The 17,710-nt window shown below is 39.9% G+C and overlaps 1 protein-coding gene and 1 long non-coding RNA gene across 5 annotated transcripts in view, besides 1 other annotated feature; one reads left to right on the forward strand and one right to left on the reverse strand.

Moving 5' to 3' along the window:
• The window catches only part of ENTPD3 (ectonucleoside triphosphate diphosphohydrolase 3), a 41,561-nt gene that overhangs the window by 21,481 nt on the left and 2,370 nt on the right, over positions 1-17,710 (forward strand). For 2 of the 4 annotated variants that reach the window (NM_001291960.2, NM_001248.4), the window contains exons 5-10: positions 3,148-3,298; positions 6,017-6,176; positions 7,176-7,409; positions 14,186-14,458; positions 14,627-14,737; positions 15,162-15,299. In NM_001291960.2, the coding sequence (NP_001278889.1) occupies positions 3,148-3,298; positions 6,017-6,176; positions 7,176-7,409; positions 14,186-14,458; positions 14,627-14,737; positions 15,162-15,299 (1,067 nt within the window). Of the gene's footprint in view, positions 1-3,147; positions 3,299-6,016; positions 6,177-7,175; positions 7,410-9,368; positions 11,051-14,185; positions 14,459-14,626; positions 14,738-15,161; positions 15,300-16,102; positions 16,336-17,710 lie in introns of those variants that run through there. The other 2 variants (NM_001291961.2, XM_011534266.4) reach the window with 2 other exon arrangements.
• ENTPD3-AS1 (ENTPD3, EIF1B and MYRIP antisense RNA 1) overlaps positions 1-17,710 on the reverse strand; it is a 62,358-nt gene that overhangs the window by 17,714 nt on the left and 26,934 nt on the right. The window lies entirely within an intron of this gene.
• Positions 9,455-9,655: a silencer, noted in NCBI's record as "fragment chr3:40459610-40459810 (GRCh37/hg19 assembly coordinates)". NCBI's record gives its function as "represses an EF-1alpha promoter that drives an FKBP-Casp9 reporter gene in an ReSE screen in HepG2 liver carcinoma cells {active_cell/tissue: HepG2}" and the evidence as "EXISTENCE:reporter gene assay evidence [ECO:0000049][PMID:32094911]".

The following is a 17,710-nucleotide window of genomic DNA, read 5'->3' on the forward strand; positions in this document are numbered from 1 at the left end:
TGTGTCTTTTTAAAAATAACTTTCTAATTACAAAATAATATATTTTCATTGTGTGAAAATCAGAAAACACAGGTAAATAAAATGGAACCAGGCACAATGGTGTGCACCTATATTCCCAGCTACTCAGGAGGCTAAGGCAGAAGGATCACTTGAGCCTAGGAGTTTGAGACCAGCCTGGGCAACATAGCAAGACCCCATCTTTATTTAAAAGTAGAAAAGGAAGTAAGATCATCCATAATCCTTCCCACCAGAGGGGAACATTTTTCTTTTTTTAGGATTAATATATTTTTATATTAAAAATTATTCATACAGGCTGGGTGCAGTGGCTCACTCCTGTAATCCCAGCACTTTGGGAGGCCAAGTGGATCAGCTGAAGTCAGGAGTTTGAGACCAGCCTGGCCAACATGGTGAAACCCCATCTCTACTAAAAATACAAAATTAGCCGGGTCTGTTGGTGCATACCTGTAGTCCCAGCTACTCGGGAGGCTGAGGCAGGAGAATCACTTGAACCTGGGAGGCGGAGGCTGTAGTGAGCCGAGATCATGCCATTGCACTCCAGCCTGGACAACAAGAGCAAAAACTCCGTCTAAAAAAAAAATTATATATACATACGTATATAAACATATATATTTATTTAATTGTTGTTATTGTTATTAGTGTTTCTTACAGCTACTTCAGTTCTGAACTCCTGAGATCAAGCCACTGAGTTCATCAAGCCCACGGCTTATGGTGCTGTCATTTGTCTGTTGTAGGAGGTCATTGCCCCAGGAGGGAAAATTACATTAGAGGCTCTGTCCTTGGCCAAGGTTGAGAAAGCCTGTCCTTGCTTCTCTAGCACTGTCGATGAAATCCACGTCTGTGCATCTTAATGGACACATCCAAGCAAAACTTGTAATTACAATGCTCAGGTTTTTTTATTGGTTTGTGGTAGTTGGAAGATGGGTGGGAAAGGTTAAGAAAGGGCAGCTGAAGGAGGCAGTGGCTCTATCAATTCCAAAGAAGGAAGTTTCCAGAGGGACCATATTCTCTCCATCTTCCTTGTCTGTCCTATACTTTGTCTTCCTTAAAGTAGACTTATTTAAACTCAGAGCCTGGACTGGGAGAACAAATTAAGTTATGTTCATGCAATGGCATGCAATGCAACTGTAAAAAGAAATGAAGAATATTTATATACTGCTATGGAGTGGCCACTAGGAAGTATTGTTGAATGCAAAGAAAAAAAAAGTGGAGAAAAGTATATATAGTAAATTACCATTTATCTAAAAGTTGGGGTGATTAAAAATATATATTTGCTTATTTTAAACAAACATTGGTTAAACTTTTTTTAAAAAAGAAACTACTTACAGGAAGAGGAGACAAGGAGAGAATCTAGATGTCTCTGAATATACCTAGTTTTGTAGATCTAATTTTAGAACTACTTAATTATTTTAGTAACTATAAAACAAAATCGTTTTTTAAAAAGTAATTCCTAAAACTCAAAAGTAAAATGCAACAGGCCAGTCATGGTGTCTCACACCTGTAATCCCAGCACTTTGGGAGGCTGAAGCGGGTGGATCACTTGAGGCCAGGAGTTCGAGACCAGCCTGGCCAACATGGCAAAACTCTGTCTCTACAAAAAATACAAAAATTAGCCAGGCACGGTGGCACGTGCCTGTAATCCCAGCTACTTCGGAGGCTGAGGCACAAGAATCGCTTGAATCTGGCAGACAGAGGTTGTAGTGAGCCGAGATCACACCAACTGCACTGCAGTCTGGGTGACACAGTGAGACTCCATCTCAGAAAAAAAAAAAAAAAGAGAAAAAGATATCACTATTTGCAACCCCTAATGAAATAATGGAGCTAAACCATTATCATTGATGATAACAGCACAAAAAGAGAAACAACCAGATACTGTGCCTCCTATTGTAAGTCCACACTAATCCCTATATATTTTTTTTAAATTTCAAACCTGATCTGATCAAGCCTCTACATTCAGTTAACCATTTATAGAAATACAAGGGACCAAGTAAGATGTTAATTGAACTATGAGGGTACAATCGACAAACTCTAGACTGTGGAAATTCTTCAGGACGAAGAAATTGCAAGTAAAATTTTTAATAATTAGGAGAAAAATAGAAAGGGAAGGCAGAACTAATAGACAGAAAGAGACTTAAGATTGCACTGTACCGAATTTATTGGGATCCTGACTCATACAAATGAGAAGAGGGTGATGGATGAAGGAAGAAGGAGGGATGAAGAGGAGGAGTAGGAAGAGAAAGAGACACAGAGGATGAGAATGAGAACGAATATGGAGGCAATGGGAACCATGACTGGATAGTTAATGATATTAAGAAATTATTTTTTTGGCAAGGCATGGTGGCTCATGCCTGTAATCCCAGCACTGTGGGAGGTCGAGGCAGGTGGATCACCTGAGGTCAGGAGTTCGAGACCAGCCTGGACAACATGGTGAAACCGTGTCTCTATAAAAAAACCAAAAATTAGCCAGGCGTGGTGGTGCACGCCTGTAATTCCAGCTACTCATGAAACTGAGGCAGGAGAATCACTTGAACCTGGGAGGTGGAGGTTGTAGTGAGCCGAGATCGTGCCACTGTACTCCAGGCTGGGCGACAGAACAAGACTCTGTCTCAGAAAAAAAAAAAAAGAAAAAAAGAAAAGAAAAAGAAATTATTTTTAATTTGTACAGGTATAATAATTCAACTGTAGTTAGGGCTTTTTCAAAGAATGTTTACTTTTTGTGACACATACTGAAATATGGGAATTAAATGACACATCTGCATTTTGCTTTGTGGGAAGCAAGTGGAAGATTGTATGGATGAAATAAGAGTCGATCATTGTTGAAGCTGGGAGATAGATGCATGAGTTTCAATATACTATTCTCTCTACTTTTATTTATATTTGAAATTTTTATAATGAAAACATTTTTTTAAAGTAGGCCCTGGCTTACTTTTTATACAATTGTAATTCATTCTTTTAGAGGTTGCAAGTATACTGATCAGTGTGACCATACGGGACTTACCACATCCAGCTGTTTTCGACCCCCTACCAAACCCCAATAATTTTCAAAGCCAATTTGTTTTTTATTTAAAAGTTGTATCACTGCGATTGGTTCCTGGAAATGCTGACAGATGCTGACTGCTTGCTTTTCAGGCTCTGGAATCTCCAGCTATGGAAATAACCCCCAAGATGTCCCCAGAGCCTTTGAGGAGTGTATGCAAAAAGTCAAGGGGCAGGTTCCATCCCACCTCCACGGATCCACCCCCATTCACCTGGGAGCCACGGCTGGGATGCGCTTGCTGAGGTAAAGGCTAAGTGGCACAAAGGAGCCCATTTGACCAAAATAACCAAGAATATGTTGAATCTTGCCAAGAATGTAACTCTATTTCTGGGAACAACCCTCGCCCCCCAAAAAGAAGCCCACATTCTGCCATAAATTTGGGCTTTAAAGGTTGGGAAACTTTTAGTTTTTATTTTAATACCCAGAAAGAAACAGTTCTAAAATTGTTTCCCTCTCCCTTGGTGATTTTACTGAGAACTTTGAAAAAGAGAGAGGTCATATGAAATCTGCTCATGGGATATAACTCTAGTTCTTTGAAAAGTAGTTGTTTTGACAGTTGGCATTTGACACCTGTGAACAACCAGCTAAGTTTGGTAGTAAGTACAACCCATAGCTATGTAGCTTCCGCTTGTGTACAAAATACCACTGAAATCTGCTTTAAAACAATGGCATGTCTGCACCTCAAATCAGTCAAAGCTTTTGGAGTTGTTATGAAACAAGCATCTAATTTCACTCACTCAAATTAGTTCCTTCTAAATTTGTAGTCATGGCTTTTAGCCCAGTTGCATTGTTTTTGAATGTCTTTTCTCTTTTTTCTCCATTATAGCATTTCCTTGACCTTGAAATTTCAAAAAAAAATTCCAAAAAGAAACACCAAACTTAAATCTACTCAGAGTAAAGGCTACTACTCCAAGTGTTGGAATAAGGTTTTATCACAAGAAAACAACACTCATTCTGCTTCAGAGCCACTTTATCTACGATTCCAAGCACGCAAAATTATCTATGTCTGAGCATTAATAAAAAAAGAACAAACAGAGCTCCTTTAACATGATAATGAAAAGAAATCATGATGTGCTCTCCATTAGACTGGGCCTTTTCCTTATAGTCTCATAATTCTTGTTTCTAATCTGATTTCCTGGTTGACCACATTGAATGTGGAAGGAAGTCAGATTTCTCTGCTCACTCTTGGAATCTGCAGTGTATTTCCAAATTATTTCATTTACGTGTAATAGAAATGATCTAAAAACTCCTTCCTTTTGCTTTTTCTTTCTTATAAAAACAGTTCTTCCAAAAAGGATGGAACTGAAACCATGTAATCTCAGAGAACACAGAAAGGCAGCCCCTTTACAGGCTATTAATTCCATGGACCTAAAATCCTCATCTGCTATAGTGGATGCTTCCTTAACACGACATGTGTGGAGCTACTTATAGAAAAGCCAGCTGCAGGATGTGCTCATGAAGTTTTCAATTTGGAGACTGAATGCTTAGAGCTTAGTTTGTGAAATCCTTCTGCTTTCAGTCTATTCAATTCCCATTTTCAGACTGAATTTCCTATTTCAGAATACATTAGGATGCTGTTTACTCTCCCTGGGACTTGACTTCAGGTAATAAGTTTCAGAACAGGACCTGAGCAATACCAACAATATGAATGTGATAAGTGACTACAATCAGGGAGAAATACTGGTTCAATTCCATTAAATGTCTGTAAAAGTTACTCTAAAATATCTTTGCTTTACCAGTAGTGTTTGTACATATGTAAACTTCTTGGTTGAACTGGCTCTGAACTTATGACTTAAGTAGACTTCTAGTACTCTAAAAACAAAAACAAAACAAACAAACAAACAAAACAGCTCTTAAGAAACTGACTTTTTCTTGGTTGCTTCCCCTCCCTCCCCCAGTCTTTCAGTGAGAAATAATTAAAAGGCTCTGCAATTTACAGCTCATGACAAAAACCATGGAACAGAAAGCTCACCTCTTAGGAAAAAATGAATGTCTCCTTTGAATAAATTAAGTACTAACTCTTTCTTGTAAAACTGTTTTCTAATGATGATCTATTTCTTCTGAGAAACTAGCTGATATTTTAATTACTAGACAAGTAAAATAGAAAAGAAAACAATTAATGAGAATTAGCTGGGATGAGAATTGATGAAACTGGGAAAACTCTGAATTATTTTCCAAGAAGTGATAATTGGCCACGGAATTGGAATGGATCCTGCTTATAGCCTTGCTCTTTCTTCTTCCTGAGCCAAGAGTCAGCCAGTGCCCCTGGCTTTCTACCCATGGATGAAAGATGAAATAATCTCCCAAGTGAGCTTTCTTTCATAGGGTAAAATGGCAGCAGATGGACGCCATAACATTCTGTCACCAGGGATAGAATGCTGTGTTGCCACTCCTCTAAGAGTCAGCACACCAATGGTTTTTCAATCCAGTGACAGCCATGATGACTGTCATATCCCTTCATGCTGAAGCCCTCCCAAAGAGTGAAGCAAAAACAGCTAAAAACTCAATGTTCTTCCTTTCCCCCTTCCTACTAAGCTCCCTTTCCGTCTGGTCAGATGAGGGTTCCTTCATATGGTGCCTCCAAGAGATTATTTATGCCACTCTTATGACTTCATCAATCCCCTTTCCTCTGCTGATCTAAGACAGAGCAATGGCAGTTAAATAGGAGGCTCTTTTGATACATGAACAGATGAGATGGGTGGGGAGAACAAATTGTACTTATGCTGAAAGCAATTTTCCTGCTTGGCAGTTTGACAGGTAACAAGTGCATCCTGCCTTCACAGTTGCCCCAGAAGGCTTCAACTTGCAAAAGGGATTGTGGTGTACAGCACACATCTGGAAAATCATTCATCCCCACCAGCAGGGAGACGGTGAAGTTTGCATTTTCACCTGAGTGAGACTATGTATTTTAAGACTGTATTGTCTGGGCACTCAGACTTGTTTGTTCTGTGCCTTGTACAGGTTGCAAAATGAAACAGCAGCTAATGAAGTCCTTGAAAGCATCCAAAGCTACTTCAAGTCCCAGCCCTTTGACTTTAGGGGTGCTCAAATCATTTCTGGGCAAGAAGAAGGGGTATATGGATGGATTACAGCCAACTATTTAATGGGAAATTTCCTGGAGGTGTGTGCAAACAAATGCATGGTTTTTAATCTTACTGTTTATCCTATCCCCTGTGAGTGATAGCCTAAGTAGAGGTACATGCCATCAGGGATATCTGCCCTGTATCACTCCTACCATGTAACGCATTAGGGAAATACCTATGAGACAATAGCTAAGAAAGACATATATAGCTGGGGAGAAAACATGGTCATAAACAGGACTAAATGCTAGGGAGGGAGGGAATCTTGTCACTTTACTAGCTTGTAAGAAATTGAAGGGGGTGGGATCTAAATTTAACACTAGGCTATGGGTCTTTGGGAGGGCAGTTGAAGAATAACCCTTCAGAGAGGCTCCATGACCATCTGAAATGTACAAAGCCCTCAGGAAGTCTGTATCCCTAAGTCCCCAGAGACAGGAGGAGGTCTTCACTCTGTGTTCCCAGGTCTCCTCACAGTCCAATCCCTGCACTCCCTGCTCCCTTGGTGCAGAGGAAAGTTGACTCCAAGAGACAACTGCCATGTTACAGGGGGCACAAAACAGGAGTTACTCAGAGCATATCCAGCCCAAGACCTATTTTGTTCACCTTCAAATGTATTTTAAATTTTTAAATAATTACCAACAATTAACATTTGGGAAATTTCACATAAAAATCCATACTTCTAGCTTCTTCTGACCTCCTCACTCCTCCCAAAAATCGGAGGAACTGGTCACAGTAGACTCACATTCCTGCACGGTAACAGGAACAGAGTGTAAATCATGGACTCTCCAGTTTGCCACAGACCCACCAGTCCCTATTATACACCTAATCTACTTCACTCATTTATTACTTACCTATGTTACCTGCCCAGTTCCTGTAAGCATTTTAATTCACCACCTCTAAAAGAAAAGGAAAGAATTGGCCTCACATGCTCCCTCTGTCCTACTTCTTAGTAATAGGAGACGAGGCTTGGGTGGAGAACTCTGGGCAAACAGAGATGGTGCCTTTGGCTTTCTTTCTCACTTCCTTTTCCCACTGTGCAGAAGAACCTGTGGCACATGTGGGTGCACCCGCATGGAGTGGAAACCACGGGTGCCCTGGACTTAGGTGGTGCCTCCACCCAAATATCCTTCGTGGCAGGAGAGAAGATGGATCTGAACACCAGCGACATCATGCAGGTGTCCCTGTATGGCTACGTATACACGCTCTACACACACAGCTTCCAGTGCTATGGCCGGAATGAGGCTGAGAAGAAGTTTCTGGCAATGCTCCTGCAGGTACTTGAGTCGGGGGTAGGGGGTGGCAGGTGTTCTCTTGAGGGTTTGAGCTGAGGGGAGAATGCCCTGCCTTCTGGGGTCTGTCCTCTCCACTTCAATTGAAAGGTAGATGGAAATAACAGCATTTTCCAATTTACTCCTGGGGGTCCAAGTCCCTTTCCTCTCTGTCTCTTTCTTCCCCTCCGTCTCCCTCTCATGTTGCCCACTTCCAGTAAATTTGAGTAAGAAGTCTAGGGAAGTTCCAGAGCTTCAGTTGTTTTGTAAATGACTCAAGACCTGGAATCCCTTTATGGACACAAACTGTTTTAAACCAGGAGCTAAATAAGCCTGAGAATTTTGAGACTCCCCTGGGTGTAGACAAAATAATATTAGTGGTCACAAGAGAAATGTGTGCTGAAGGGGGAGAGGGCAGAGCCCTTCCCAGGCTCAGCCTCCTTTTAGATGGGTCTATATTAGGCAGACTTGATACCCTTATATGGCAGAACTTTAGAGCAACCACATTCCATCATGTTGATCAGTAATTCATTTGATAAGTGTTCCAGGGCCCAGAAGGCTAATTCAGGCATCAGCTAGAAAGCTATTGCTAATATTAAACTCAACATTATGCAGTGTGTGTTCATGAGGGCACTAACTCCACAGGTGAGACCCCAGACCCAAACACCAGTGCTCAGGGGACATCAATCTTAGCCATGGCTGGGTGGCTGAGAGGATGGGCCTTGACTGCCTAGAGGGGTATGAGGAAATCAGAAGCCACAGATCCTGGCTTCTTATGGGACTCAAAGGCAGGGGAATCAGCCTATGAACAAAATGGACACAACTTCAGTAGGTTAACCCACGTTCGTCCAACCTACTCTGATAACTGAAGACAGGAACAGACTCTATCCTGCAGAGGAGTTGAAGGGATCACAAAAGTGCATCTTCAGCAGGACTCACAACTTCAGACCCCTGCATTTACCCAGTGTTCATGCAGGGTAGGTTGTGGGAACTCAGCTTCCAGTTCTGGCCCCTCCCCCAAACATCTCCCCAATCCTCCCAGAAATGGCTGAGGCCCCAGGACACATGCATGGGACATTTATTGTCAGGAGAGTCTGAGCACTGCCTGGAAAGGACAGATGTGAGAACCCTGCAGACAGCCCTCAACTACCCTTCTGTAGTAATCCATGCTCACACTACTATAAAGAAATACCTGAAACTGGGTAATTTATAAAGAAAAGAGGTTTGTTTAATTGGTTCATGGTTCTGTGAGCTGTACAGGTTTCTGCTTCTAGGGAGGCTTCAGGAAACTTAAAATCATAGTAGAAGGCGAAGCGGAAGCAAGCCCTTCTTACATGGGGGAATAGGAGGAAGAGAGAGAGTGAAGCGGAAGGTGCCATACAATTTTAAACAACCAGATCTCCTGACAACTCACTCACTATCATGAGAACAGCAAGGGGGAAATCCACCCCCATGCCCCAATCACCTCCCACCAGGCCCCTCCTCCAACACTGGGATTACAATTTTACATGAGACAAAGCCAAACCATGTCACCTTCCATGGCTCCCATCCCAACTTCCACCTCCCTGCCCAGTCAGCCAAACCAAACCCTACAGGTAACTCAATCAACCCTCCCTATCAGGGGATCTCAATACTCACCACTCATCCCCACTTGCTCATCAAAGTAGTTCAACCAACATGCTTCTTTCTTTCTGGGAGAGAAGCTCTGGAAAATCCTCTTTTCTCCAGCTCCTTTTACCTCTAGCAATGCCTAATGTCCTTTGCTCCAGCTCTGACCCTAGCAGGGGTAGAATGTGGAGGCTCAGGTGAAATCCTCCTTTTTCCAGGGTGAGTGAGGATCAGAGAGGCTAATCTTTTAAATTTGGCTGGCCCTATGGAATGTGTGTGTTTCTGTCTGTCTGCGTGCCTCTGTGTGTTTTTGTACTCATACAATGTTTACTAAAGAATGATTATCTATGTATCCAGCAGTCCACAGAGAAGAAGTAAATACTTCACCTTTCTGAGGTCTGATTTAGGCTTGAGAATGCCAGTCTCCAAATGTGAGCCCAGCACTGGCCATGGAGAAGTGAGCACCCAGCCTCTCACAGTCAGCTCACAGGGACAGGGACACATGTCTTCAATTTGCATGGTAACCTCTAGATGCCTGATAGGGTGGCTCTGCCCTCAGAGGCTTCTGACTCATGCAAGAGGAGAGACCCAGATGAGATGAGGATTACTGACAAATTCATGTCAAGACTCACCTGACCAACAGTTTCATAGGTCAAATATGTATTGCCAAGCCCTGACTTGGAAGGTTCACACAAATTATTGCATTGTAAACACTGACTGAGTAAATTCCATCAGTCTGGATCTTGTTTCCTCATCTGTAATATAAGGAACTACGTAGTGTGGTGAGAATGATAGCTGGATATGTACTTTGCAAGTTACTTTCTTATCAATAAGTCTCCAGTCACCTTAGAGCTGAAGTCTCACTCTGACAACATGTTAGATATTAGGAATGTGCATTCACTTTCTATCTTTCCCTTTTTAAGTAAGAAATTTTTCTTCTGTTTTTAATGTAATATATGTTCAGTGAAAAACATTTAGGAGATGCACACCAAAAACTATAAAGGATTTATTTAAAAACAGAATTAACCACTATTAACATACTATTGCATTTTCTTCCATTTTTTAAATGTATGAATGTGTAAAAACTTGGCTTCATATGGTATATATAATTTTATATTTACCTTTTATTTTACCTAACCATATATTATGATCATTTTCCTGTGTTGTTAATGTCCTTTTAAAATACGATTTTTTATGAGAGCATAATATTCCAAGTGCCATAACTTAAAAAGAAAAAAAATTGACCATTCGATTATGAAAGAAAGTACATTCTTATTGTAAAAATTTAAAACCATAGAAAGAGTGTTAAAGTCAAAATGAAAGATCCTCCTTCCAATCCCATTTACTGAATGCCATCACTGGTCAAAGCTTAATATGTTGTTCTTCTACACTTTCCAGGTCAGTATATTAACTTATTTTCTTTACTATTTACTATCCCATAATTTATCAATCATACCCTCCCTCATGGACATCAGGCTATGTCCTGTTTTGTTGCTACAACAATAATATAATAAGCCTTCTTACTCATATAATCTTAGCGATTTTATTTCTGTAGGACAGGTTCAAAGGACAGGTGTATTTTTTTATTTAAATGAACAAATAGGTAATCTTCCAACAAAATTAGAACCATTCAGATTACCACCCATGTTGTGATGACTTTTTGAAATAAGCTTCAGGAATTCCAAAACATTCTAATAATAAGTACTTAGATAATGAGGATCTGTTTCTGGATTTTCTGTTCTATACATTCATTTTTCTATTTTGGGGCCAATATCATGTTGTTCTACTTGCAAAAGTCTATTTTTCTACTCTCAGAGGTTTATTTTGAACTTCAAAGTCATTTGAAGCAGTAACAAAAAAGGAAGTTTTTTGTTGAGATTGTGATTGCAATCACATTGATTCATATATTAATTTGGTTAAAATGTGCTTATTAGTGACATCAACAATTTCTATCCAGAATTATACAATGTATTTCCATTTATTTAATTCTTGGCTTGTATCCTTCAATAAAATGTATAGTTTTCATCATTGGTTCTGTACCTCTGTTGTTAAATGTATTTTCTTTGTGTATATTTTTTAAGCTTTCTATCACTATCAAGAATAGTTTCTATCATTGTTTTTTCCAGTTTTAACCAGTTTTACTCTAAGATCAGATTATGCTGTAGTTTTCTAGTGGACTTTTCTCCCTCGAGCCCATTGACTGACTTTTTCATGACAGTGCCCTGCAAACACTAAGCTCGGTGAAGACTGTTGAATGTTGAATGCCTGAACTTGGCACATTGGCAAATTATACTTAAAGAATGCCATAACAAAAATTCAAACACACAAAAAAAGAAAAGAACTAATACTTACTAAGCTTTTCCTATGTACTAAGTCAGAAATAATTTATGTTATCTTGTTTCTTCTCTGGGCCAAGCCAGAAATAATTTATAGTTTTAATCATTTTAAAAGTATAAATCTCCCTTCAGACTATACTAGAAAAGAAAAAAAGTACAAATCAGATTTGGAAGTAGATACTAAATAGCCAATTGATTAGTTTGATTTTTTTTTCTTTTTTCTTTTTTTCTTTTTTTTTTTGGAGATGGAGTCTTGCTCTGTCACCCAGGCTGGAGTGCAGTGGTGTGATCTTGGCTCACTGCAAGCTCTGCCTCTCGGGTTCACGCCATTCTCCTACCTCAGCCTCCCGAGTAGCTGGGACTACAGGTGCCCGCCACCATGCCCAGCTAATTTTTTCTATTTTTTTTTAGTAGAGATGGGGTTTCACTGTGTTAGCCAGGATGGCCTCGATCTCCTGACCTCGTGATCCGCCCGCCTTGGCCTCCCAAAGTGCTGGAATTACACGTGTGAGCCACCACGCCCCGCATATTTTTTCTTTCAACCAATATTTCAGCCATAGGGTGACCCAAGTATGATATGCTATAGATTATATGTAACAATTTTTGAAAATCATAGATTTTTTTCATACCATAGAGGCAGAAAGGGGCCTGTTTGCCTCCTTCTCAGTCATATGAAGATTTTTCTGGAAAACACTCATTTGGGTTATATTTGATGAATATTAAGCTTTTATAGGATTTTTGCAGAATCTTGTCACTGACCTTTGTTAAATAATTGCATTACTTGAATATGTACCTCAGTTTCCTCATCAGTAAAATGAAAGGGTTGGGCTAAATGTCTGAGTCAAGATTTTACTGTAGGGTGGCCAGGTGCAGTGGCTCACACCTGTAATCCTAGCACTTTGGGAGGCTAAGGCAGGAGAATCTCTTGTGCCCAGGAGTTTGAGACCAACCTGGGTAACACAGGGAGACCCCACCTCTACAAAACAAAAAATAATAATAATTAATTAATTTAAATTTTTTTTTTTTTTTTGAGACGGAGTCTTGCTTTGTCACCCAGGCTGGAGTGTAATGGTGCAATCTCGGTTTGCTGCAACCTCCGCCTCCCGGGTTCAAGTGGTTCTCCTGCCTCAGCCTCCTGAGTAGCTGGGACTACAGGTGCGTGCCACCACGCCTGGCTAATTTTTGTATTTTTAGGAAAGACGGGGTTTCACCATGTTGCCCAGGCTGGTCTCAAACTCCTGACCTCAAATGATCTGCCTGCCTCAGCCTCCTAAAGTGCTGGGATTACAGATGTGAGCCATCACACCCAGCCAAAAGAAAAGATTTTACTGTAGGGGAAGCAGTATGCCTTAGTGGCTTAAGTTGAACATAGTTCAAATCCAATTCCTTAGAAAAGAGAGTTCATAAATTGAATCAACAACATTCAGGACTTTAGCATAAAATAGAGTATTTTGCACCAGTAGATTAAAGATTGAATAGTCATATGGAAAAAGTAAAGCCAAGTCTCTGAGTCTTTAAATCAAATAAATTTCAATGGATAAAAGATTTATATGTGACAAGGATATTTGTTTGTAATGGCAAAATGATTGGGAACCACCTCAATGTTCATCTAGATGATATTCCTTAAATAAAGTATGGTTTATTTGTACAGTGGAATACTATGCAGCTACTAAAAAAATAGGCCACTGTATAAGTACAATGAATGGAAAGATCTCAAAGATATATAATTTTAAGTGAGAAAAGCAACGGGTAGAATGGGGTATATAAAGTGCTACCATTTATGGCTTTAAAAAAAGAAAAGCATGGGAGAAAATATATATATTTGCATGTGCATGCCAGATCTTTGGAAGGATACACAAAAACTGGCAATAGTGATTGTTTCCAGAAAAAGGCCTGATGGCTGCAAGTGGATGAGAAGGAGACTTCACTTTCATATGTTTATTTGTACCTTTTGGATTATTTTGCTAGATGGATGGGTGATATTCTACTTAAAATGATACATTATATATATCCATTTTCTCACCAAGTGAAGTTCATAAAACCTGGTTCATAGGGCTATCATAAGAGCTGGATCAGATAATGTGAGAGAGAGCCTAGCGCTATGCCTGGTACGAGGTAATTGTCACACACACACACACACACACACACCCTTTTCCCACCCCTACTTGAATTATCTAGACAACCTGTGATCAAAGACATGCTGACACAGAATGGTATTTTTTGTTTCTCTCTTGGCATTGGAGGGTAGTGATAGAATTTGCAAAAGGGAAATACTTGGCTCTCCACAAAAAAAGTGGTTTCTAATACCTTACTCTTTTTTTTTTTTTTTTACTTAGAGATTTTATTATTATTATTATTATTATACTTTAAGTTTTAGGGTACATGTGCACAATGTGCAGGTTAGTTACATATGTATACATGTACCATGCTGGTGTGCTGCACCCATTAACTCGTCATTTAGCATTAGGTATATCTCCTAATGCTATCCTTCCCCCCTCCCCCCACCCCACAACAGTCCCCAGAGTGTGATGTTCCCCTTCCTGTGTCCATGTGTTCTCATTGTTCAATTCCCATCTATGAGTGAGAACATGTGGTGTTTGGTTTTTTGTCCTTGCGATAGTTTACTGAGAATGATGATTTTCAATTTCATCCATGTCCCTACAAAGGACATGAACTCATCATGTTTTATGGCTTCATAGTATTCCATGGTGTATATGTGCCATATTTTCTTAATCCAGTCTATCACTATTGGACATTTGGGTTGATTCCAAGTCTTTGCTATTGTGAATAGTGCCGCAATAAACATACGTGTCTAACACCTTACTCTTATACCTACAGAATTCTCCTACCAAAAACCATCTCACCAATCCCTGTTACCCTCGGGATTATAGCATCAGCTTCACCATGGGCCATGTATTTGATAGCCTGTGCACTGTGGACCAGAGGCCAGAAAGTTATAACCCCAATGATGTCATCACTTTTGAAGGAACTGGGGACCCATCTCTGTGTAAGGAGAAGGTGGCTTCCATATTTGACTTCAAAGCTTGCCATGATCAAGAAACCTGTTCTTTTGATGGGGTTTATCAGCCAAAGATTAAAGGGCCATTTGTGGTAAGAGCAAAACCTTCTGAAAGATTCCTTTCCCCATTGAATATTCATTTCTCACTTTTCTGTTTCTCCTCTGCTGACTTGTTAGCCACCTTCTTATTCCTCACCCATAAACCTTTCTATTATACCCCATTCTGAGAACTAATTTTCTTCTGTATTACTTATTTCCAGGCTTTTGCAGGATTCTACTACACAGCCAGTGCTTTAAATCTTTCAGGTAGCTTTTCCCTGGACACCTTCAACTCCAGCACCTGGAATTTCTGCTCACAGAATTGGAGTCAGGTCAGTATTTAAAGAGAAGGGATCAATGTCAGTACAAAAAAATATGGTAGAATCTATTCTATGTGTGTGTATTCTGAATTTAGCCTTTATGCTCTTCTATTTCCATCACATCTGTAAAATAAAAGGAATAAGGGAATCTACTCCCACACCTGTGGTGTGAATTAATGTTATAACTACATGCACAATGGTTAGAACAATATTTGGCATATAATAAGCACTCAATGAGTTTAAAGATTAGTATATTGTGATATTATATAGGGATATTTTCATAATTATATTGTGTGATTATATGATTGTATTATAAAGTATTTTCTATTATGAAATTATGGGTGATAAGATTCTTTAAAACATGACTTTTAACCCAAGGTGTTCATTTTAAAACATACCTGCCTGCCCTGCCTCTCAGATGTTTTAAACCTTTCAGCTCCCACTGCTGCTCCCCAAATTTGATGAGGTATATGCCCGCTCTTACTGCTTCTCAGCCAACTACATCTACCACTTGTTTGTGAACGGTTACAAATTCACAGAGGAGACTTGGCCCCAAATACACTTTGAAAAAGAAGTAAGTTAAGCACAAATCATTTTCTCTTCTTCTTCCCAACAGAGAGGTTTGTATGTGTGTGTGGAACAAATGTAGAAGGTAAAAGGGTATTAATGAGTTAAACTCACTGGGTGGAAGCTGATCAGACTGATCCCTTGTGAGTTTCCCAGAAGAGGTCATGGAGAATTTAGAAGAGTTGCTCATGGGTATACATTCTCCTGGAAAAGACTGGAAGCCAAGGGCCAATGGACTAGGCGGTCCTGGAGGGCAGAGACCTGTCTTGGTATCTTCATATTCCCAGCACTCTGCACAAGGAATAGAGCCTAGAAGGTACTTAGTAAATGTTGGTTGAATTCATAAATAAATATGTTAAGGATATGAGACTTTTCATCCTGAAAAGAAGCTTTAAATGTAACAGTTTTTTAAAGAGGATAGTAACTAATTCTTCTCCATTTTATTCAGATATCAGAGTAAGATACAGGCCTTAGGGCCTGATGGATTTGCATTAGCATTAAATAAATATTTTCTCTTTGAATGAACCTGAAGTCATTATATTTACTGACAAAGATTTGGGGGATGGGGAAGATATTCTTAGCTCAGGGTTTAATATATTTAAAAATATGTATATTTATAGATATCTATAAATACATACATATATATATATGATGGTCAAGTGACCAGAATGGTCCAAAGCTGGAATCACAGCTGTCACCTGGTGACAGGTGAAAGGACCTCCATACCTTGTTTTTAGGCAGGGCTAAGCCTTGTGAATATGTTCAGCCAGCACTATGTTCCCCAGGTTCCAGAGAATTTTCTCATTTCAGGAATAGCTGATATGAAGCCTGAAGGATGTCTGGAGTCAGCCTGTTCAATACCAGCTTCAGCAATAATTAGATTAAACCAATCAATATCCTGCATTAGGCCTCTGACTATCTACTTTTACATAAATAAAATTGAGTCATCTACAAAAAAATAAGGATGTCTGGAGACATAAGGACTGTTGGTAGCATGTACTCTCTAAGCTTTGCTTCTAATAAATCTAATTACCAGTAAAGTATATTATAAGAATGGAGAATGACTTTCCATTTGAATGCCAGTTTGAGTTGACATAATATTCTAAGTTAAAAGTTCCCTTTTTTTAATTATAAAGAATTTTGTGTCCAGCCAAATTAGTATTTAAATGTGAAGATGTAGGCTGGGCACGGTGGCTCACACCTGTAATCCCAGCGCTTTGGGAGGCCGAGGCAGGCGGATCACCTGAGGTCAGGAGTTTGAGACCAGCCTGACCAACATGGAGAAACCCTGTCTCTACTAAAAATACGAAATTAGCTGGGCATGTTGGTGCATGCCTGTAATCCCAGCTACTCAGAGGCTGAGGCAGGAGAATCACTTGCACCTGGGAGGTGAAGGTTGCCGTGAGCCGAGATCACGCCATTGCACTCCAGCCTGGGCAACAACAGCAAAACTCCATCTCAAAAAATAAAAATAAAAATAAATAAATAAAAATGTGAAGGTGTAAAAAGACTTGAGAAGATTTGCTGCACAGAAGACTTACAATGAAAATATTTTTGGTGGAAGTAATAAAATAAGAAGAGAAATAAATCCAGGAGATGTTACAAAAACACTGGAAGTAAGAATAAATGATGTTGTGGCTTAAAATTTACATTAAAAAAGCCGGGTGCTGTGGCTCATGCCTGTAATTCCAGCACTTTGGGAGGCCGAGGCAGGTGAATCATTTGAGGTCAGGAGTTCGAGACCAGCCTGGCCAACATGGCAAAACCATGTCTCTACTAAACATACAAAAAATTAGCTGGGTATGGTGGCATGTGCCTGTACTCCCAGCCACTCAGGAGGCTGAGGCAGGAGAATTGCTTGAAACTGGGAGGTGGAGGTTGCAGTGAGCCGAGATCTCACCATTTCACTTTAGCCTGGGCGAAAGAGCAAGACTCTGTCTCAAAAAAAAAAAAAAAATTATATTAAAAAAAACAGAAAACGAACACTAAAGAAAAGTATTTAAAAAAAACTCCATTCATATGACTCAAGTATAGAAAATATCCACATGATAAGGGTGTGGTAAGGAGTTATAAGATACAGGGACATAAGAGTAACCTAAAATTCTCTTCTTGTCAAAGGAAACACAGAGATATCTTTTTCTTTTTCTTTTCTTTTTTTTTTTTTTTTTTTGAGACGGAGTCTCGCTCTGTCGCCTAGGCTGGAGTGCAATGGTGTGATCTTGGCTCACTGCAGCCTCCGCCTCCTGGGCTCAAACAATTCTCCTGCCTCAGCCTCCTGAGTAGCTGGGATTACAGGCACCCACCATCATGCCTGGCTAATTTTTGTATTTTTGTAGAGACAGGGTTTCACCATGTTGGCCAGGCTGGTCTTGAACTCCTGACCTCAGGTGATCCCGCCTCGGCCTCCCAAAGTGCTGG

Source organism: Homo sapiens, chromosome 3 (genome assembly GCF_000001405.40).
Source record: "Homo sapiens chromosome 3, GRCh38.p14 Primary Assembly".
Classification (NCBI taxonomy): Eukaryota; Metazoa; Chordata; class Mammalia; order Primates; family Hominidae; genus Homo; species Homo sapiens.